This window comes from Homo sapiens, chromosome 5 (genome assembly GCF_000001405.40).
Source record: "Homo sapiens chromosome 5, GRCh38.p14 Primary Assembly".
NCBI lineage: Eukaryota > Metazoa > Chordata > Mammalia > Primates > Hominidae > Homo > Homo sapiens.
In genome coordinates, this window is record NC_000005.10 from 64,180,626 (window position 1) to 64,204,158 (window position 23,533).

At 36.5% G+C, this 23,533-nt stretch overlaps 1 protein-coding gene across 15 annotated transcripts in view; it reads left to right on the top strand.

The window, feature by feature from the left end:
• The window catches only part of RNF180 (ring finger protein 180), a 207,519-nt gene that overhangs the window by 15,275 nt on the left and 168,711 nt on the right, over window positions 1-23,533 (top strand). For all 15 annotated transcript variants that reach the window (XM_047417118.1, XM_047417120.1, XM_017009388.2 and 12 more), the window contains exon 2: window positions 20,183-20,317. In XM_047417118.1, the coding sequence (XP_047273074.1) occupies window positions 20,183-20,317 (135 nt within the window). The remainder of the gene's footprint in view (window positions 1-20,182; window positions 20,318-23,533) is intronic.

Below are 23,533 nucleotides of genomic sequence, written 5' to 3' on the forward strand. Positions count from 1 at the left end.
GAATTTCTCTACTTTAGCACCTGCATACCCCACCCTTGCCTCAAGATATAAACAACCTGATAGATACAAGCTAAGAGGCATTATTCTTCCCCTGTAGTCAATTCCTTCATAGAACTTCTACCAACGGCAAAATGGAAAGACATCCCTTTTCGCCTCTCAGATTCTCAGATACTACTCTGTGAGGCAGAAACTGCTGAATTTCTTTCATTTCCTGTGTTCCCAGCAAATTCCAGGAAGCTACTAGGCAGAAGGGGAATTTGTCATGTTGTATTAGGGTTCTCTAGAGGGGCAGAACTAACAAGTCTGGATCCCAAAACCTCAAAAGTAGGGAAGCCAACAATGCAGCCTTCAGTCTGTCGCTGAAGGCTTGAGAGCCCATGGCAAACCACTGGTATAGGTCCAAGAGTCCAAAAGCTGAAGAACTTGGAGTCTGATGTTCGAGGGTAGGAAGTATCCAGCACACAAGAAAAATGAAGGCTGGATGACTCAGCAAGCCTGCTCCTTCCACGTTCTTCTGCCTGCTTTGTTCTAGCCTCGCTGGCAGCTGATTAGATGGTGCCACCCAAATTAAGGGTGAGTCTGTCTGTCTTTCCCGGTCCACTGACTCAAATGTTAATCTCCTTTGGTAACACCCTCACAGACACACCCAGGAACAATACTTTGCATCCTACAATCCAATCAAGTTGACACTCAGTATTAACCATCACACGTGGGTACCACAAAGCATTTGCAGAAGTTAAAATTTTATCAGTGTTTCACTTTGCCATTTTATCCTACTCTGACACAAAAAGAACCCTGTTGATTATGTGTGGTAGCAATGGCAATTACAGTTTTTTAAATGGGTTTCCTCTCCCAGAAAAACAGGTAGGCAATAAAGGGTATTGAAAAATGCCCTCTCTGAAAAATATTGAGCTAAAAATCAGGTGGTAAAGGCCTGTTAAGGATAGGTGAACAGGACTGAGTGCTTTGTATGTCAGCAACCTTTGCCTAGATAGGAGCAGATGGGCAGAAAAGTGATCATGGGTAGTTTCCCTCAGCTTGTCTGTTTGACACCAAAGTCTGGGCAGATCTCTCTGTAATCTCGCTGTGTGTACGAAGAAAAATAAAGCAGCCTGAAATGAAACCTCTGAAATACTATGGAACAAGGGAAGATTTATTATTGAAAATAATTGTAATAAAACATTAATTTCAGTAATTGATAGTGTTTATGAACACCGTGTTTTATATCAGTAGTGCTCAATCTGTGTTTCAGGGATTCTGCAAATAGTGAAATATTTAACCCCTTAATTGCTTTGGTCAGGTTAACATTTTGGGGTTCCTTATAAGATTTTGTATGAGGGAAAAGTGCAACTGCTACTGTCTTTTTTTTTTTTTTTTTTTTTTTGAGACAGAGTCTCGCTCTGTCTTCCAGGCTGGAGTGCAGTGGCACATCTTAGCTCACTGCAAGCTCCGCCTTCCAGGTTCACACCATTCTCCTGCCTCAGCCTCCCGAGTAGCTGGGACTACAGGCGCCCACCACCACGCCTGGCTAATTTTTTTGTATTTTTAATAGAGACGGAGTTTCACTGTGTTAGCCAGGATGGTCTTGATCTCCTGACCTCGTGATCTGCCCGCTTTGGCCTCCCAAAGTCCTGGGATTACAGCTACTTTCTTAAATAATGTGATTCACAAAAAATTTATTTTAAAGAAATTTCACAAAATGAATCAATCCAATTGCTTTAGAGGATCTTCACTAATCACCATTAAATATTTTATTGTGAAACTAGGGTTGTTGAATTTACTAACAGTCATGAGTAACTTCAGAATGTAGGAAACATTAGTGTCTGGAAACATTCAAAGAAAACAAGCTAAATTGCATACTTCAGGAGCCTCCAAGGGCCTCAGTGAATGAGAAGACAGAAGAAATAACTGGGACAGCTTGGCTGTTTTAGTATTATAAGCTAAATCTTTATCTTAGCGTAAGATCTAAGAGTATTACTGAATTTCAGGGAGATTCATGCTGAAGGACTATATAGAACAGCTGTCTCCAGAGGCATTTACTGCCAGATAGTAGTAAGTTTATACGAGAATAAGTGATAGCAAATTGAGTATGTCTTGATGCAGATTCCATACTCCTGAAGAAAGGGAGAAAAGTACACAAAAGCAAAGAAAAAGTTTAAAGTAAAGAAGGCCACCAGTATTCATATGGTAAGATAGTAATGTGTGCAGAGTCTTTGCAGACCCTGTCAATGTATTGGACCCTGTTTTATTTTTAGAATGGCTAAAGGAGAGTACTTCCGATGTCACGTAAAAGGTGATCAAGACTGAATATAGATCTTGACATTCCATCTCGGAGCTAGTTGCTGCTTCCATTCCTTACCTTCTGCTACTGTAGCCGGCTAAGATGCCAGCAGGTTGGGGAGGACAACCAATGATGTTTGTTGCATCCTCCATTTCAGTATGTGACCATCAGCTTAGAATTCTCTGTCAAAACTTCAATGCATCTCACTCTTCTCATCCTTAGAAATCTCAAGACTAGAAAATAAGAACATCTTCCTCACAAAGTGATGGGAATAATTTCAGAAGTCACTTAACTTCTAGGACTCAGTTTCCTCATCTATAAAATGGAGTTAACAGTCCCTACCTCATAGGAATGTCTTGATGATTAAGGGAACTAATGCCACTTAATAAGTACTACACTAAAAAATGATAGCTAGTTTAAAAAATAATATTAATGCTTTGATTTCATGTTTTATATATGGAAATTTTAGTTTCAAATATATGAAGGATATACCACTTTCTGGCCTATTGCCTATTAAAAAGGGAGAAAGTATACCTTTTTTTTTTTTTTTTTTTTTTTTTTGACTCAGTCTCTCTCTATTGCCCAAGCTGGAGTGTTGTGGCACTATCTTGTCTCACTGCAACCTCCACCTCCCTGGTTCAAGCAATTCTCATGTCTCAACCTCTTGAGTAGCTGGGATTACAGGCGTGTGCCACCACACCTGGCTAATTTTTGTATTTTTAGTAGAGATAAGGTTTCACCTTCTTGGCCAGGCTTGTCTTGAATTCTTGGCCTCAAGTGATCTGCCCGCCTTGGCCGCTGAAAGTGCTGGGGTTACAGGCGTGAGCCACTGTTCCCAGTCAAAAAGTATACATTTTTTGATGGATAGTTTCATAAACAGCATAGTAACATATAGTTATCAAACCACATATGATGTCCTGAAACTCAGACTGTGTTCTTTAATGGATTTTCTAAAACATCAGTCTCTATAATAGCTTTATTAGGCTGCATTGGGCACCCCCAAATTCATGTGTTGAAGGCCTAATTCCTAGTACCTCCGAACATGGCTATTTGGAGGATAGGGACTTGAAAGAGGTGATTAAGTTAAAATGAGTTTGTTAGTGTGGGCCCTAATCCAATCTGACTGGTATCCTTATACATAGAACAAATTTGGACACATAAAGACCTACTGGTTATGTGTGCCTACAGAGGAAAGATCATGTGAGGACACATTGAGAAGACAGCCATCTGCAGCCCAAGGAGAGAGGTCACAGAAGAAACCAAACCTGCTGATGTCTTGATTTTTGGCTTCTAGTCTCCAGAACTGTGAGACAATAAGTTTCTGTTGTTTAAACTACCCAGTCTGTGGTACTTTGTTATGGTAGTACTAGCAAACTCATACCGTTGTCCTGTTTTTAGTGATTTTGGTTTGATCTTTGAGTGTTAGTGGGAACAGCCTTATTTGCCCATTATAAAGTACTTTATTATCTTTTTTTTCTAATTGTTTAACATCTATTGATGGTTTTGTCTAGATCCATTATTTCATCGGGGTCAAAAATGGTAATTTTAATATAATCACCCTTCATTTTTTAGCACTGTGCTTCTATACTGAAGAATTTTTGCTCACCAACTATTTGGTTACCGTGAAATAGTCTGTATTGCAAAGGTACAATAACTGCTTGATTGGATTCTTTCTCTTTTTAAATTCATTTTTAGATTCTGACATCCTCCATATCACCTGAGAATCCTAAAATTTCAGGTTTGGGGATTTGAATTTATACTATTAGGGTGAGCCAAAGACTTCCAAACTGAGAAATTTATATAAAGTATCCCTGGGCTGGTGATGCCTTTGGAACACCTGGCGGATATGGTGTGAAACTCTGTTTCCAGGAGGGGCAGATTCTCAAGGTCACATGCTAGTCTTCAATCCATGAGGAAATGAATGAGAGTTAATATATCCCCAGAAAATTTAGGTAAACCCAGGGCTGAGTCTTTGGTCTTTTCTCTGTCCATGCTCACAACCTTGTAGATATCATTTATTTTCATGGCTTTAGAGAACCATCCCACATTTAAATCTTTTGTTCAGAGATCTCATACCTAAATATATCACAAACCAAACTCCTGACTGTCCTTTCTGTTTCACTGGCACCCTTTCCCTTACCCGTTGATGGCAGTTTCATCTTTACAGTTGCTTATGACAAAGAATTTGGAGATCCTTAGATCCTCATAGACTCTACATCCAATCTGTCTGGAAATCATCTCTGCTTTACTTTCAGCATATATCTAGAATTTGATGATAACTTAACACCTTCACTGCTATCACCTTAATCTAACTTTTGGCTATATTCCTGTAGCAGCATTTTTCATCATAACAGTGTTTGTCTGGTAGATTAGTTAGTTGATACTTTTCATAAACATAGTCCTGTTTTACACTCAGAGTTTTATTTAAAAATAAATATGATAATTCATTTAAAAAGTACTGCTTTATCTCATTTTTCTTTTCTTTATGTAATTATGAGTAAATTAAGAGTTTACTAGGGAAAGGGCAGAAGCTTGTAGAAGCGTATTGTATACTAGGACAAGCATTTTGATTCAACCAGAAGCATATGAGTATGTAAATCATAATTTAGTTTCTAATTAGGTTTTTTTCCCATGTAATTCAACCTAATGTATTTAAACATTGGTTTGGCTCTTAGGTGAATTTAAATGAAATAAAGAATGTGGTTTATACCTGATATGTTTGGATTTCCTTTCAATGCCCAAAGAGAGAACAGTAGCTCTAATTGCCACAAATTCATTTCAGCAACATATATAGTCACATACAAGGCAGCCTGTGGTATTGAGGGGGACTACAAAAACTTGAGCTACTGCTTATGCCCTATCTCTGGGAGTTTACAAGTAGAGGAAGAATCAGATGTACTCATTAGTGTGTTATCTGGTGATGCAAAGACATAAGTACAACATAAAGGCATAAGTAACAGATGAACAAAGGTATCAGATGAACAAAGGTAAAAGCTGTTTAGGAACAGAGCAAACAATAAAAGTGCTAGGAATGTAAAACTCTCTTTTGGGGAAGATGGTGGGATAAGTAAGTAAACAAGCCCAAGTCTCTCGGCTTCCCAGGCAGTGCTTTATTGGCCAGTGTTTTATCTGCTAGGAAATACCTGCTTTTTTTTCTCCATTATCTGGCAATTTTTTGGAGCCGTATCTTTTGAGGTAACCTAGTATAGTTGCCTCTGCATCAAACAAAATGTCTCTGTATGTGACAATTCCTCTTGCCCTGAAGTAAAAAGGATTTTGAAGCCAAGTCAGTGTGCTTGTCTGTGCAGCCACCTTTCATCTGAATCCTTTCTTGATTACTGATACATCAAGAAGAATATATCTAGTAAGAGTATGGCAAATCAGACAAATACTTATTATCAACATTTGGTTAAAACAACACTTTATGTCATATTAATATATTTAACATAAGGTAAATATGTTTTAGCCCGTATTTCCCCTTCTAAGAAGTCAGCCTGAGAAGCACTTGGGAGGAAGAAGGCTCCATTTGACCTCAGGCTCAAGTCTTTATTTAGATGTTTTCCTTTGAGAACCCTGACAATTTTTGCCTGTTCTCTCCCAGTCAACTGGCTTAGAACCCCTCTCACCCTCTCATATGCTTTCATAGCACGTGTCTTTGTTATTCTTTATGTTCTGGGACAAAATAATAGTTTCTCAGCAAATAATTATTGAATATTAACTGAAAAGAAATTTCCTGATTTTATTTTCTTCTTTACTGTATCTTTATGGTCCAATCAGAAATATTATTGGGACCTTCATTAAAATTATATTTAGATGTATCATGTCCTGGATTGCTCAAGAATCTCCAAAAATAATGAAAACTCTTCTTTGGAGCCAGAACTTGTATACTCATCATATGATGATTTCTGAGAGTCCCATGTAAATACCGACATGCACACAACATTTTGGAAAGTGTATTTCAGCATTTTGTACAACTCTCTTAATTCCGCATGCAATTTCTACCTTTTCATATATTTTTCCCATAAGAAAGTAGTGTGTTAGAAGTCAGTGAATATATGGGTCCTGCTTATTATTACTTTCATTCTTCTTTAAAATTCACTATTTTATGAAAGACAGGTAGCAATTAAAATGGACAAAACTAATCAGAACACATGTCTGCATTTCTTCAGTAATATTTTATAATTCTTAAAGATGTCACTTGGATTGAAATACTGCAGTGGGCATTCAAGACTAAGTGCCTGAGATATATTTGTGAGAAAAAGGAAAATGAGTCAGTTTACAAGAATAAAGAAGTGCTATTCAACTTTAATTGAAGTATGTGACTTAAGAACCTATGGGACAGGATATGAAGTACTGGTAGCAAGTACAATGACAAATTCATACTACTTTTTGTCATTAAGGTTGTTTATTATGCATTGCACTCTGCCTAACTCAACAAACCCAGAGAAGGTAGAAGAAAAGTAGAAATAAGGAAGGTGAGAGGTGGCTAGATGGAGATAGGAAAAATACTTATAGATGTGAACACCAAAGCATATGCAGAACCATTTAAACTATTGAAGTTGATTTTATCATGTTCAAACACAGAAGTATGTAACACCAACAATTATTTAAGAAGACTGTGGTCTCTCTCTCTGTAATTCGTGTTGGACAGTTTAAGTTCATAAATTAGCAGTTTCAAATGCAGTTTTCATTACTGCAGCATAGAATTATAAAATGACAGTTTAGAAATCACCTGACACCGTCTATTTGTGTAGATGAAGTATCTGATATCTTTCACAAAGATTGAACAGTAATATGAGAGGGATCCCAGATTACAAACTGTCTTTCACCAAATAATACAGGTACTTGAAATATTCATTGAACTAAGTAAGTAAGGCACATACATTCCATAGGCATCTGGCCATAACTGTGAGAAGCTGTTTTAATTTTTACTTAACATAGGAATACTTTTTGTGTCCTAAGGTGTTCTTAAATGATTCACGAACAAATTAGGTGATTGTCTGTTTTGCAAGTTCAGCCATTTTACGTTTTTGCAGCATTTCACAGATCATTGACTGTAGTGTTGCTAGTATTTCTTTGCTGTGGCCTGCTTGGATTTGGACTCCTTTTATTTCAGTTCTTCCGTGCTCACAATAGGCATCAAGAAGATTCAATATCAGTAGGGTGAGCTGACATGTAATTAGTTTTACAAAATAATTAATATCTGTGCAGCTCATCTGACAGAGTTATTATGTATGATGTTCTGCTCATGTTAACAGCCACGGATGCCAAAGCCCATTTCAACAAAGCAGTTGTGGGTTACTGTTGGGATTGCTATGCCCTGTGTAACAATGAGATTTCCCTTACATTAAGGACATGCTATTTCTTTATATCTACAAAAGGAATGTTCTTTCTCATTTTCTGGAGACATAAGGTCCTGAGCACTTACAGTATACAACCTTTAGGTGATTAATTATGCTAAACTTAATGGTTACAAATACATTATGGTTCTCGTAAACAAAAAAAAAAGTACATATTTTTAAGTGCCGTGCCCAGGAGGTATGGATAGTTTAAAAAAAATTTGGAAATATTATTTGCCCTGAGATGGTTTGAACTGGCTAAATTATTTAAGCATTTTATTTTCTAAGTTGGTATGCTTTGCTCCTTTCATAAATTTATCAATTTTACCTCACTTGAATTTTTATCTTAAGTTTTAAGAAAGATATTGATAATTGCTAAGGGAGCTCTAAGTTCTTTGGTCATTTCTCTTCTTGATTTTTCTTTCTTGTTCACTAACAGGATTTTTACCCTTTGAGAAATATTTGGTGGGTTTTCTTTGTGCCGTGACTTTATTCTATGCAGGAAGTATAACAGAAAAGACACGTAATAAACATGAGCATTCTAATAATGGCAAAATTGGGAGGACTGGCTTGGGTTCTATAGGTACTGTTATGGACTGAATTGTGTCCCTCACCGCCTGCCCCAAAATTCATATGTTAAAGCCTTAACTCCCAATGTGACTATATTTGGACATGAGGTCATAAAGGGAAAGTTAAGGTTAAATGAGGTCACAGGGTGAAACCCCAATCTAATAGGACTAGTGTAATTGTAAGAAGAGGAAGAGACATCTGAAGTATACACAAACAGAGGAAAGGACATATGAGGACTCAGCAGGAAAGTGGCCATCTGCAGGCCAAGAAGAGAGGTCTTACCAGAAAGAAACCCTGCCAATACCTTGATCTTAGACTTTCAGCCTCCATAACTATGAGACAATAAATTTCTTTGGTTTAAGCCACCCAGTCTATGGTATTGTGTTATGGTAGCCCAAGCAGAATAGTGCATATTTTGGTACTGTGAATTGGTATTCTTCTGTAACAAACACATAAAAATGGAGAAACACTTTGGAATTAGGTAACATATGGAGGCTGGAAGAGTTTTGATGCCTCTGTTAGAAAAAGCCTAGATTAACTTGAAGGAATCATTGGTAGGAATGTGGATGTTAAAGGTGATTCTGGTGAAGTCTCAGACAGAAGTGAGGACTGTGTTATGGGAAATTGGAAGAAGGTAGTCCTTGTTATAAAGTGGCAAAAAAAGAAAAAAAGAAAAGAAAAACCTTGGCTGAATTGTATTCTAGTGCTTTGTGGAAGGTAGAACTTGTGAGTGATGACCTTGAATATTTAGCAGAGGAGATTTGTAAGCGAAGTGTTGAAGATGTGGCCCGGTTTCTCCTTACCGCTTACAGTCAACTCAAAAGGAGAAAGATGAATTATACAAGGAATTTTAAGCTAAAGGGAACCAGAAATTAAGATTCTGAAAATTCTCAGCCTGTTTATATTGCATAATAAATACTGGAAAGCATGTTTTGGAGAGGACACTCACTGTATCGTTGGACAATCTTTCCATCCATAATACTATGATGGGATTATAGCAGCAGAGATACTGCCATTTTGGATTAAAGGAGACAAGACAGGACAAAATAAAGGAAGGCTTTCAGACTTCTGGGATTCTACAGAAAAGGACCATAGGCCTATCTGGCTATGAATATGCCTTATCCTTCAACAAAAGATAAGGACCCGAAGATGATACAGAGATGCCTCCACAGGCCCAGAGCACACAGACTCACAGGGCTAAGGCTGTTTCTTCCTCAGTTTGAGTATAGGGCCATCTCTTCAGTTTTAGCAGTTGAATATTTGTATACTTGTGTCCATAGCCTTAGGGGCAAGGCTGCCACCCAGAGCCAAGGGAGCAGGTCTGCCATCTCAGTGGGCCGAGAAAACAAAGCCGCTGTTATGGTGGGCCTGTAGGTCAGACCATTAAGCCAGAAAGGATTATTATTGTGCCTTAATTTGTCTTGCTAGGTAATGAACTTGCTTGCAACCTGTCATCCCTTTCTTTGTTCTGATTTCTCCCTTTTAGAATGGGAATGGCAACCCTATGCATGTGCCACCATTGTATTTTAGAAGCATATACATTGCATGCTTTCACAGTTTCACAGCTGGAGAGGAATTTTGCCTCGTGATTAGTTATACCTTGAGTCTCATCCATACCTGATTTAGATGATATTTAGATGCGACTTTGGATTTGGAGTTGATGCTAACATGAGTTAAGACTTTTGGGAGCTGTTGGGATGGAGTGGATGTTTTTTTGCATGTGAAGAGGACATGAATTTGGGGGTCCAGAGGGAGGAATGTTACAGATTGAATTGTGTCCTCTCCCCTAAATCCATATGTTGAAGTTCTAACCCCCAATTTGGAGATAAGGTTTTTAAGGAGGTAATTAATGTTAAATGAGGTCAAAAGGGTGGGGCTGTAACCCAGTAGGACTCCTGTTCCTAAGAGGAGGAGACACCAGAAGTACACATGCACAGAGGAAAGGCCATGTGAGGACACAGTAAGAATGTGGCTGTCTGCAAGCCAAAATGAGAAGCCTCACCAGAAAACAACCCTACCAACATCTTAATTTTGAATTTCCAGCATTCAGAGCTGTGAGAAAATAATTTTCTGTTGTTTAAGCCCCCTAGTCTGTGGTATTCTGTTATTGAAACCCAAGCAGACTAGTACATATATCATACTGATGAAGTATAACTTTTTTTACATTTAGAAAAGCAGCGTTGATACTAAATTTCAAAAGAAGGGTGTAAAAACCCAAGACAAAAGTAAACTTCTCCTTTTTTTGTTAATGAATACCAGTAACTTTGAGTAGATGGTATTGTTATTAGATGTCAAAATAGTTTTTTAAATTTGTAGACTATTTTTAGAGCAGTCTGTTTATAGAAAAAATGAGCAGAAAGTTACAGAAAGTTCCCATTTATTTCTGTATGGAAAGTACAGAACACTTCCTCTTACCATGCAGTTTCTCCTATCATTAACGTTTTGTATTAATGTGGTACACTTGTTACAATTGATCAATGAATATTAACTAAAATTAATAATTTACATTAGGATTTATTCTTGGAGTTGTATAGTTCTGTGGATGTTGACAAATGTATAACATCATGTGTCCACCATTACAATATCATACAGTATTGTTTTACTGCCCTAAAATTCTCCTGCATTTCACCTATTCATCCTTCTCCTCCCCCCAGATACTTAGATATTAATACAAGGTGATGAGACTGCTAGAAAGCACTAATTGGAAATTGTCTTTCTTTACTATTCTGATAGAAAATATAGACTATTTCACAAAGGTCAATGCATGAAATACAAACATATTTTTTCTGTTGTCTAATGACTTTAAAGACTAATATGTCAGTGTTTAATTGGCTTATGTTTTGCTATTGAATTTTAGAAGATTTTTATGTTTTTATATTAGCACCTTATCTAAATGGTTTCCAAATATTTTTATCCCATTCCATAAGTTGCCTTTTCACTCTGTTGATTGTTTCCTTTGCTGTGCAGAACTTTTTGGTTTAATGTAGTTTTACTTGTCTATTTTTGGTTTTATTGCCTGTCCATTTTGTGTCAAATTCAAGAAATGCTTTCCAAGACTAATGCCAAAAAACTTTCTCTGTTTTCTTCCAGGAGTTTTACAGGTTCAGATATTACTGTTTAAGTGTTTAATTCATTTCGAGTTGATTTTTGCATATGGTGTAAGATAGGGGTCCAATTTTATTTTTTTTGCATGTGGGTGTCCAGTTTTCTCACCATCATTTGTTGAAGAAACTGTCCTATTCACCCACTGTGGTCTTGACACCCTTGTCAAAGATCACTTGATCATATATGCCTGATTTTGAGATAGCAAACAAACAAAACAATTAAAAATGGGTAATAGACTTGAATAGACATTTTTGCTAAGAAGACATACAAATGGCCACTAGATACATGAAAGGGTTCTTAATATCAGTAATCATCAGGGAAAGGCAGTTCAGAATTACAATGAAATATTGTCTCACACCTGTTAGGATATTACCAAATAAAAGGTAAGGGTTGGCCAGGATGTAGAGAAATTTTGTACACATTTGGTGGGAATATCGAATGGTGTAGTCACTATTAAAAACAGTATGGAGTTGCCAGGCGCAGTGGCTCACTCCTGTAATCCCAGCACTTTGGGAGGCTGAGGCTGGCGGATCGTGAGGTCAGGAGTTCGAAGTCAGCTTGACCAACACAGTGAAACCCTGTGTCTAGTACAAATACAAAAATTACCTGGGCGTGGTGGCGCGTGCCTGTAATCCCAGCTACTCAGGAGGCTGAGGCAGGAGAATCACTTGAACCCAGGAAGCGGAGGTTGCTGTGAGCCGAGATCGCGCCACTGCACTCCAGCCTGGGCGACAGAGTGAGACTCCATCTCAAAAAACAAACAAACAAAACACAGTATGGAGGTCTTCAGAAAATTAAAAGTAGAACTACCACATGATCCAGCAATCCTATGTCTGATGTATATACAGAATAATTGAAGTAACAGTCTCAAAGAGATAATTGCATCCTCATGTTCATTTCAGCATTATTCAGAGTAGCCAAAATAAGGGGAGAAAAAACCAGGTGCCTATTGACAAATGAATGCATGCAGAAAGTGTGGCATGTATATATATATATATATATATATATATATATATATAAAATGAAACATTCAGCATCGAAAAAGAAGGCAATCCTACCATTTGTAAAATGGATGCACCTAGAGAACATTATGCTAAGTGAAATAAGGCAGTCACAGAAGGGCAAATACATTATTATACTTATATGAGGTTATCTAAGATAGTCAAACTCATAGATGCAGGGAATAGAATTGTGACTGTCGGGATGGGGGAAAGGAAATCAGTAACTGTTGCTTAATGGGTATACAGTTTTAGGTATGTAAGATGAATAAGTTCTACAGATCTGATGTGCAATATATTACCTATAGTTAACAGTACAGTATTATGCACTTTAAAATATGTTAAGAGGATAGATTTCATTTTAAGTGTTCTTAACCAAAACCAAACCCTACAAAGAACAAGGAAATTTTTGGAAGTGATGGATATATCAAGTACCTTGATTGTGGTGGTAGAATCTTGGGCATATACATATGTCCAAACTCATCAAAATGTATATATTAAATATATGCAATTTTTGTATACCAATTGTATCTTAATAAAGCTTTTTTTAAAAAAAATTAACATCAGTCCATATAAAGGATAGCAAATCACAAAGTTATCTGTTTTGAGAGGTTCTCAGCATTACATTAGATCTTTCTATCTTGGCCCATTCCCAATTGTTTAGGATTTGGATTATGAAAGTCGTCTTTAGCATTTAACCAGTTCTTTGGTAGTGACAAGGGCTGGTACTGTTTATCCACATATAAATTTATCTGTTATATATCACTTTTATAATGAAAGATCAGCCTGGGTTCATTTCCACACTTTCTTGTTCTCCAGTTTTTCCTTGGTGATAGATAAGTAATCCCTGTATGGGCAATGGTGGGAAAACACATCTGTGATTTCTTGTCTCATTGCAAGGGCTTGACTTTTACCTATCCGAAAACCTTGACCTTTTAACCAGGGCCCAATAATAAGAGTTGTCACTGTAGACACTGCCCCATATTGGGCACCCTTTACCTACTGTTATCAAACAGAGGCAAGCATGAGGTTATATTGATGAGAGGAAAAGAGGGAAAGGAAGAGAGACACACTTTAAAGTTACAAGTTTTTTTTTTTATTATACTTTAAGTTTTAGGGTACATGTGCACAACGTGCAGGTTTGTTGCATATGTATACATGTGCCATGTTGGTGTGCTGCACCCATTAACTCGTCATTTAACATTAGGTATATCTCCTAATGCTATCCCTCCCTTTTCCCCCCACCCCACAACAGTCCCCGGTGTGTGATGTTCCCCTTCCTGTGTCCATGTGTTCTCATTGTTCAATTCCCACCTATGAGTGAGAACATGCAGTGTTTGGTTTTTTGTCCTTGCGATAGTTTGCTGAGAATGATGGTTTCCAGCTTCATCCATGTCCCTACAAAGGACAAGAACTCATCCTTTTTTATGGCTGCATAGTATTCCATGGTGTATATGGGCCACATTTTCTTAATCCAATCTATCATTGTTGGACATTTGGGTTGGTTCCAAGTCTTTGCTATTGTGAATAGTGCCACAATAAACATCCGTGTGCATGTGTCTTTATAGCAGCATGATTTATAATCCTTTGGATATATACCCAGTAATGGGATGGCTGGGTCAAATGGTATTTCTAGTTCCAGATCCCTGAGGACTCGCCATACTGACTTCCACAATGGTTGAACTAGTTTACAGTCCCACCAACAGTGTAAAAGTGTTCCTATTTCTCCACATCCTCTCCAGCACCTATTGTTTCCTGACTTTTTAATGATCACCATTCAAACTGGTGTGAGATGGTATCTCGTTGTTTTGATTTGCATTTCTCTGTTGGCCAGTGATGATGAGCATTTTTTCATGTGTCTTTTGGCTGCATAAATGTCTTCTTTTGAGAAGTGTCTGTTCATATCCTTCGCCCACTTTTTGATGGGGTTGTTTGTTTTTTTCTTGTTTACAAGTTACAAGTTTTAAAAGAAATTTTCATATTGAAATATACAGATAGGAAAATGAACAGATCACAAGTATACAGCAAATGAATTTTCACAAACTGAACATGTATATATGTATGTAAAATACCAGTACCCAGAGTAGGAAAACTAGTAGTATGTTAGAAATTAGTATATTTCTAGCACCACAGAAGCTTATCAGGTATTATGTTAGCTTATTTATAAATTTAACATTGTATCCCAGGAGATTCTTTTTTTGAGTAGTACAGTTTCTCCTTCAAATAAGGAAAACTGTATAGGAAAATGTTTTCCATGATCTTATCCTCACCAGTTATCCTAGTGACAAATGTACATATTGGGGGTAGAGTGTCTTCTAGCTGATTAGTAATACTGAAAGTATTTCATGTAAGTCTAAAAGTTGAATTTAAACATTTTTAAACCAAGCATATTTACTAATATAGGAAAGTTTTATATACCAAGTGTATGAAAGTTATGTAGTTAAAATCATCGTAGTAAGCAAATTGTTATTAACCACCTCCTGTGTAGTTAGGAAATAAAGAAATACCATGTGAAAGGGGTGTGTTCTCCCCAGTTCCTCAGCATCAGGGAACAAACTTGCTAACTGTTGTTATTTATGTGCAGTAAGTCCTCACTTAATGTCATTGATAAGTTCTTGGAAACTGCAACTTTAATCAGAATTTAGTATAATGAAACCAATTTTACCATTGGCTAATTGATATAAATAAGAGTTAATTGCCTATGGCATATTTCTGGCCACAAAAACATCAAACTTTTAAGTAAAGACCAAAACACTTCTAATATTAAACATTAAAGTAAATGTGAGCTATACAGACATTTAAGAAATCAAGACATGTAAGAAAATAAGATCAATATTCACCCAGTTATTCTAGTTTAGGGTTGTAGGTGGCAGAAACCTAATCTGTCAGCTCAGGGTGCAAGGTGGGAACCAGCCCTGGACAGGGCACCATTCCATCACAGGGTACACTCCCACCATCTCAGATTGGCACCATTAAGACATGCCAATTAATCTAACATGTATATCTTTGGGACGTGGGAGGAAACTGCAGTGCCCACAGAAAACCCGCACAGATATGGGGAGAGCTTGCAAACTCCACACAGTGACTGTGGTCAGGAATTGATTATTTTTCTCATCAGTGTTACAATGGAAATTGACTTTCTTTTCCTTGTCAATTTTATAACTGATATTGAATAAAACAATGTTATTCAAGGGCCTGTTGTATTTCTAACAAGATGGAAACACCTGTAACCTAAAAACCAAAAATGATGTCATGTATTAACAGGCACTTAGTTTTTTTTTTTTTCCCACCATTAACGCTTTCGGATGCTATAACTCTTATTTACTAGCATTAGCTAGGAGTCCTGCTACAAATTTGAATAATAGGGCAAATAGCATCATTATGTTCTCCCTGATTTTAATGGAATGATTTTAAAGTTTCACCATCAAGTATTATATAATTGCTAATGTTTTCGATAAACTCCCTTTCTCTCAGGTTAAGGAAGTTTCCTTCTATTGCTAGGGTGGTGTTTTTTGGTTTTGTTTTTCATTTCTGACTAAATGTTGAATTTCACTGAGAGTTATATTTTTTGCAGCTTTTAAGATGAGCATGTTTTTTCTTTTAATCTTTTATTTCGGTATATTGAATAGTTTTTCACCCAATTTTGACCATTCTTGAATTCCTGAAAGTAATCTTACTTGGTCAAAATGTATTATTATTTTAATTCATTGATGGATTCTGTTGGCTAATATTTTATTTAGAATTTTAGCATCTATGTTTATAAATAGTTTGGTTCATATTTTTCTCATATTCTCCTTGTCTAGTTTTATATTTCCTTGTCTAGTTAATATATCAAAGTTATATTACTCTTATAGAATTATTTTGAGGAGCTGTTTTTTCTTTTCTGTTTTCTGGACTACAGTTTATAGGTTATAAAGATTATTTCTTAAAAGATTGGTAAAATTTGGCAGTTACAGCATTTATGCTTATATCCCCCCTCCAAATTGCTTTGGAGAAGGTATCTGAGTTCTGTTTCAATTTTAAAAATCGTTTTATTCGTATTTTCTAACTTTAGGTTAATTTTAATTTATAATTTTGTCCACCTCATCTCAAGTTTCAATTTATGAATAACAAATAAAAAGGTCAGCAAAGACTAGAGACCCACGAATGTAGAATTATTACTGTGTCAAATGCTGGTATTTCACCATAAAGTGTAGCAAATAGCAAAGGATAGACAAAGAAATGCAACTTCGTTATGGAGGTTATAATTCCAGTGCTTGGTATTATAAAAAATTTCAACCTAATCTGTTATAAATATGTTTCTCCATAGGGACTCATCTTTCGTTCCTAAGTATTTTAAAGAATGTTATTGAGAAGTAAGATTTTCAAAAACAACACTTTTGAGATAGCTGTTTTGCATAAAGTAGCATTTCTCAAAATGTGCTTCATGCCGCTGGTGTCTGTGAGACCTTTTCAAAGAATGCGGTCAAAACTGTTTTCTTGGTAATATTAAGATGTTGTTTGCCTTTTTCACTGTATTGACATTTGCACAAATAATACAAAAGCAATAGTGGGTAAAACTGCGGGTCCCTTAGCAAAATCAAGGCAATGGTGACAATCTATACTAGGAGTCCTTTTATTCTTTACCACCATATAGATGCAAAAAACCTGTTTATCGAAGCAGTAAATAATATTGTATTAAATCTTTTCTTTTAAGTACATCTTTTTAAAAATATTCTTTGTGGGAAAAAATGAGAAGAACCCATAGAGCACTTGTGCAGTCTACTGATGGCTGATGATGATCTTGAGGAAAAACCCATGTTCAGTTGTTTTAGTTGAGAGTTGAAGTCAGTACCTTTTCGTGGCACATTATTTTTTACTTGAATGATTGGCAAACTGTATATTCAGACATGGATATTTGGCAGTATTGTAAGTGATAAATTTGAACTTTATACAAAGATTACATCCTAGAAACATTGAATTAGAATCTCTTAGATTGTGGCCCACTGACTTGCATTTAAGTAAATTCAAGGTGTTCCTTATACTATATATTTGAGGAGGTGACATTGAACCAAGATCTAAATGATGAGAAAGGAGCCAACCATGCAGAGACCCAGGAGAGGTGAGGAGGTCTAGAAAAAGGTTATCCAGTAGAAATACAACACAAGCCTTACCTATAAAGCCACATAAACAAGTTCAAAGAAACAGGTTAAATTAATTTTATAATACATTTTCCTTAACTCGGTATATTAAAAGTATTATTTCAACATGTACTTAAAAATATTGAGATATTTTACATTCTTTTTTTCTACGAAGACTTCAAAATCTGGACATCTCAATTTAGATAACTCACATTTCAAGCACTCAATAAACATGTCTGGCTAGTAGCTACTGTATAGAATAGCTCAGATCTATGAAGAGTGAACAGCCAGTACAAAGGCCCTGAAGGAGATTCATAGAGAGATGTGCATTGGCATTTGGAAATTGAAAATACTGGTTTAGAGCTTTGGAACAAGACCAAAACTAGATCTATAGATGTAAAAATCATTGATACGAAAGCATTGTCACACAGAGTGAATACAGTTTTCAGTGTTTAAATGAAGACTTAAAACAATCTCCTACAGGGTTTTTTTCCTACTACATAGTTGTACCCCAAGAAGGCATGGAAAAATTTCAGGGAGAAGAGGGCAGGTATTTCAGGGTTGGAGGGCACAGGCAGATGTAGAGTTTCTCCATACTTGATTCTGGTATGAATCCTCCCTGCAGTCCCTATCCTGGCTGAGGACCACTGGTTAAAAGGGAGATGAAGATAAAAGAGGCTAAGAAGGGTAAGAGAGGAAAGAAGAATACTAAAGAAGTTAAGTGTGTTCGTGCTTCAACAATGAAGAAAGGGGAGGGCAGAACATTTGCAAATTAAACAATTTTTTTTTTTTTTGAGACGGAGTTTCGCTCTTGTTGCCCAGGCTGGAGTGCAGTGGCACGATCTCGGCCCACTGCCACCTCTGTCTCCCGAGTTCAAGCAATTCTCCTGCCTCAGCCTCCCAAGTAGCTGGGACTACAGGCATGTTGCCACCACACACGGCTAAATTTTTGTATTTTTAGTAGAGACAGAGTTTCACCATGTTGGCCAGGCTGGTTTCGAACTCCTGACCTCAGATGATCCACCCGCCTTGGCCTCCCAGAGTGCTGGGATTACGGGCGTGAGCCACCACGCCCGGCCAAATTAAATGATTTTTGGTGGTCATTGAGGTCATAGTTAAAATGGAGTGGTCAACTGGGCTAAGATGCATTCTGAAGATGGGTCAGTAGAGACAGAACTGCAGCCTGTCTACTTGAAGGTCTGAACTAGAGGGGCTTGCTGTGCCCTCTGAGCCAGAGTTCTTTAAGTCCTACCTTTAAAGTTGATTACTGTCTGTCCATGTTCCCTCTCTTATAGTTGCATTTTACTTAACTGTTAATAGTATGCATGTCTCCGTGTTCACCCTGACCATACTGTAGATTCCCTCGGGTAATTTTTTTTAAATGTCCATTTCTACCTGCATCCCCATCTCAGAATCAGTAAAAATTTCTAGGAGTGGGTCCTAGGCATCACTGTTCTTTTAAAGCTTCCCAAGTGATTCTATGTGCTACAGTTGAAAAACTGTTGATCTGTAGCATAGTGAGCACCTCTGAGACAGAAAGAAAGTTTTACTCATTTTCATGTTCCCAGAGTTTGACTCATTGTCTGGCACATAGGTAGCTTTCAATAAGTGTTGGACGAATGAGAACTGAATGAACAAATGAGGAAATGTGGCCAGGGAACTAGGCAGGCCCATGTGGGTAGCCTGATAAATTAATGTTGCCTTTCTTTGTAATGGATAATTACCAGACAAGTTATTTAACACCCTGTACCTATTTTGGAATTGTTATGTATTAGTGTGAAACTATTATCCCAAATTGGCTTAAAGTATTGACATAAAATCTCAGGTGCAAAAATAGATTACAAATTTGGTGGGGCTGTTCTCTGAGTCTTGCTTGATTATATACAAGATGTAGTATATAGTTAACTGTTCCAATAAGTACAATATAGTGGAGACTTTGTCGCTTTCAGGATAAAGGAATTTTGCCATCAATTTAAGGTAGGCACTTCCAATTTTCACAGAATTAACAACTCAGTAAATCCTATTTTTAAAATTTAATGGTATGACTATTCAAAACATGCTACTTATAAGAATATTTAGTTCTTTGTCATGACTCTTTAAAACCACTGTAGGCCAGATGCAGTGGTTCACGCCTGTAATCTCAGGACTTTAGGAGGCTGAGGCAGGGGGATTGCTTGGAAAGCCAGGAATTTGATACTAGCCTGTGCTACCAAGCAAGACCCTGTCTCTACAGAAAGTAAAAAAAATAAAATAAAAAATAAAAAATATTAGCCAAGTGTGGTGGTGCACTCCTATAGTCCCTGGTACTCAGGAGACTGAGGCAAGAGGATTGCTTGAGCCCAGGAGTTCGAGGCTATAGTGAGCTATGATTGTGCCACGGTACCCCAGCCTGGGTGACAAGAGTGAGACCCTGTCTAAAAACAAACAAACAAAAAAACTACTGCAGTAACTTATTGAATTGACTCTACAGATTGTGTTTACCACTTTTAGTGAGAGACAAATGAAAAGCAGTAGATACAAAACTTTGTGCACAAAGAAAATAAGCTGGTAGTCATTAACATAATGTATCATCATAATTAATTGGGATTTTCAATCTCAGATGTAATGTATAGAGTGCCCCAAACCTAAGACCTGATAACTGGTAGGTACCTTAATAAATGATAGTTCCCTGCTTTACTGTCCACTTGTAGCTAATGCCATGTTAAGGATTTAGAAAGTCCAGTTTATCTGACAGTTTAACATTCTAAAAATGCACTAATGTTTCCGCAGATGAAAAGAAGCAAAGAATTGATAACTAAAAATCATAGTCAAGAGGAAACAAGTATTCTTCGTTGTTGGAAATGTAGAAAATGTATAGCAAGCTCTGGTTGTTTTATGGAGTATCTTGAGAATCAAGTGATTAAGGTGAGTATTGGTAACTCCAGTCTTCAGTTTCCTGGTAGAGGAGTGCTGTGGGCCTATCCACACACATGCACACTTATTCTTCTCTACCTTATTAAGAATATTTATAGTTCTTTGTCATGACTCTTTGTCTCTCACCTTATTTCACCTGACCCACTGAAAACATTCTAAAATGGTATTCAAAAAGCATCCCCTTCCAAGGTTAAAATTAATTTTGCCTTTAATTACGAATGTTAATATGACCTTAATGTTTTAAGTGCAATGTTATAGGCATAAGCTGAAGATAATAGTCAATGTTTTTTATTCCCACTATGAGTGAGCCTCAGTAATCACTGCACAATTAAATTCAGAATCCTAGTAAGAATTGGAAACTTGTTATATAGGTTTTTTTTGTATTCACTATGGGCCTAGAAAAGAAAGTTTATGTGTTAATATAAAAGTAACCCATAGGAAAACCTGAATAATATTCAAGTGTGTGTTTGGTCATCCTGATTAAAAAATGAGTGTTTTTAAACAACAAAAATAAAAATTTCTTCTCTAAGAGCAGTATCAAAGAGGCATGAACTAGAAAGTAATTAATGGAGTTTGGCAGAAATTCTAAATTTAACAGACAGAGTGACTGTAATCACCTGTCATTGTTTTCTTCCGCTTCTTTGGGAGACATACTCAGCTTTTTGGTTTTCGTTTGTTTCGTTGTTTTACCTCAGTTAGATTTGATCATGATGGTTTCCCTTCCACTTTAACAAATTAGCTAGTCTAAACTGATAATAGTAGATAACTTTGATTGCATACTTACTACATGCCAAATACTTATTTTGGAGATGGAGTCTTGCTCTGTCACCCAGGCTGGAGTGCAGTGGCGTGATCTTGGCTCACTGCAACCTCCACCTCCTGGGTTCAAGTGATTCTCCTGCCTCAGCCTCCCAAGTAGCTGGGATTACAGGTGCCTGCCACCATGCCTGGCTAATTTTTGTATTTTTTAGTAGAGATGGGGTTTCACCATATTGGTCAGGCTGGTCTCGAACCGAATACTTTTTAATGACTTGAAATAACATTTTAATTAGGAAAATATCCAAAACTTTTTATGCTAAGAGTATTTTGGTGGATATAACTTATATGTAGTACAAAAATTAAATGTACAACTTGATAAGTTTTATCAGCCCTGCCATGAATCAGATCAAGATATGCATTTGCATCACCCCAGGAATTTTTGTCTTGCCCTTCTGCAGGCAGTGGTCTCCCTCTCACTGATGTCTTTCACCATAGTCTAGGTTTGCTTGTTCTTTACATTCCTTCAAATGGAATAATACAGCATGCATTCTTTTGTGCCTGACTTATTTGTGTCAGCGTAGTGTTTTAGAGATTTATGTTTTGCATGTGTCAGTAGTGTGTTCCTTTTTTCTCCTGAGCTATGTGCCATTTATGAATATACCACAGTTTATCAATTTTTTTCTGCTGAAGGACATTGGCATTCGTTCCAGTTTTAAGTTATGAATAAAACTGCTATCAAAATTTTTATAAATTTTGTGGTCATGTTTTATTATTTCTGTTTAATATATGCATAGGAATGGATTTTTGGGGTCATGGGGGTAGGTATAGTTTAATTTCTTAAGAAATTGTTAGTAGTTTTTCAAAGTTTATGTTCACTTTCGGTAGCAACATATGAGAATTCCAGTTACATCTTTGCCAATACTTAGTATTTTCCGTCTTTATAATTTTAGCCATTCTGATGGACGTATAGTGGTATATCATTACAGCTTTAATTTTCATTTCCTTGGTGACTAATGATGTAGCGTACTTTTTTATGTACTTGCTGGTTAGGAACTGTTTTAAATGCTTTAAAAATATTATTCATTCCTTACAGTAACTCTTTGAGGAAGATAACCTATCATCTCCATTTGCTAGATAAGGAAACTGAGGCACAGAAGATTAGGTAATTTTCCCAAGTTCACACTGCTACTAAGAAGTGCAGCTGCAATTGGACTGGGCAATGAGGCTCCAGAGCCAGTGCTCATAACCTCCACACTCTCTGCTGCCTTTGCTCTTCCTTCAGGATATCATATGATGTCACTTCTTCTCACTGGAGTGGCTGATCCTTTTATTTACCTGGAGAACTCCCACTTACTCATTCATTAAAACATATTTAATGACCTAGAACAATTCTAGCACTGCTGTAGGATGTATTGGGATGGATAGTGGAAGAGTGATACAGAGTTGAAAAAATATACTCTGGTCCTTAGGATCTCTAAAGTCTTGTTGAAAATAGGCCAACCAGTGTAGCCTGATCTGAGGAGTACTCTAACAGAGGAATGCAAACAAAATTCTGCCTGGGCTGGTCACAGGAGACTTTGCAGAAAAGATAATATGTGAACATATATATGTTTGTGTCTTACAGATTTTAAAGTATAATTTGTAGACCATAAAATTCACCCATTGTTAGATAATAACTTAATGATTTTTAGTTGTGTAACCACCACTACATTGCAATTTTGAGCTATTTTCATTACCCCATAAAGTTTCCTCAGGCCTATTTGTCCTGCTCCCATCCCCAGGCAACATACCAATCTTATTTCTGTCTCTGTAGATTTATATGTAAAATAAAATGTATAAACATAATAAAAGATGTAAACCATTGAAAATACCTTATAAAGTAAAAATATATTCATTTATATAAAATTGCATCTGTAATTGAAAATACATAAAAATTATGTACTAAATATATATAAAATACACACAAATTATTTTAAAATGAAGGGATAATTCAATATCATGGTTAAGTCTTAGCAGAAGGAGTAATATGAAGCAGTGACTCTGAGGGGGGCTTCTAAAGTAATGTTAATGTTAAATTGCTTAATCTTGGTAGTGGGCATATTGGTATTTTCTTTTCTTTAAATTCCCTTTATAAAACATATTTTATATTTTATAAATCTGTATACATTATCAAAATATTAAAAATGAACATGAAAGGATCCTTTAAAGGAAACTGCAAAAGAAATTATTAGAACCCCAAAGTAATTTTATCAGTACTGTGCTGAAAGGTTGCTAAATTTATCACCTATTAAAGTAACTGTACAGTTAAAAATAAGCCATATATATAATAAGTGTTTATGAACTTTCTGTAAATGAAATTACACTGTGATTATTCTGGAAATTGCTGTTTTTACTCAGTATCACCATGTCGAGTGTAGATTTAGTTCATTTTCACTTCTGGATAGTATT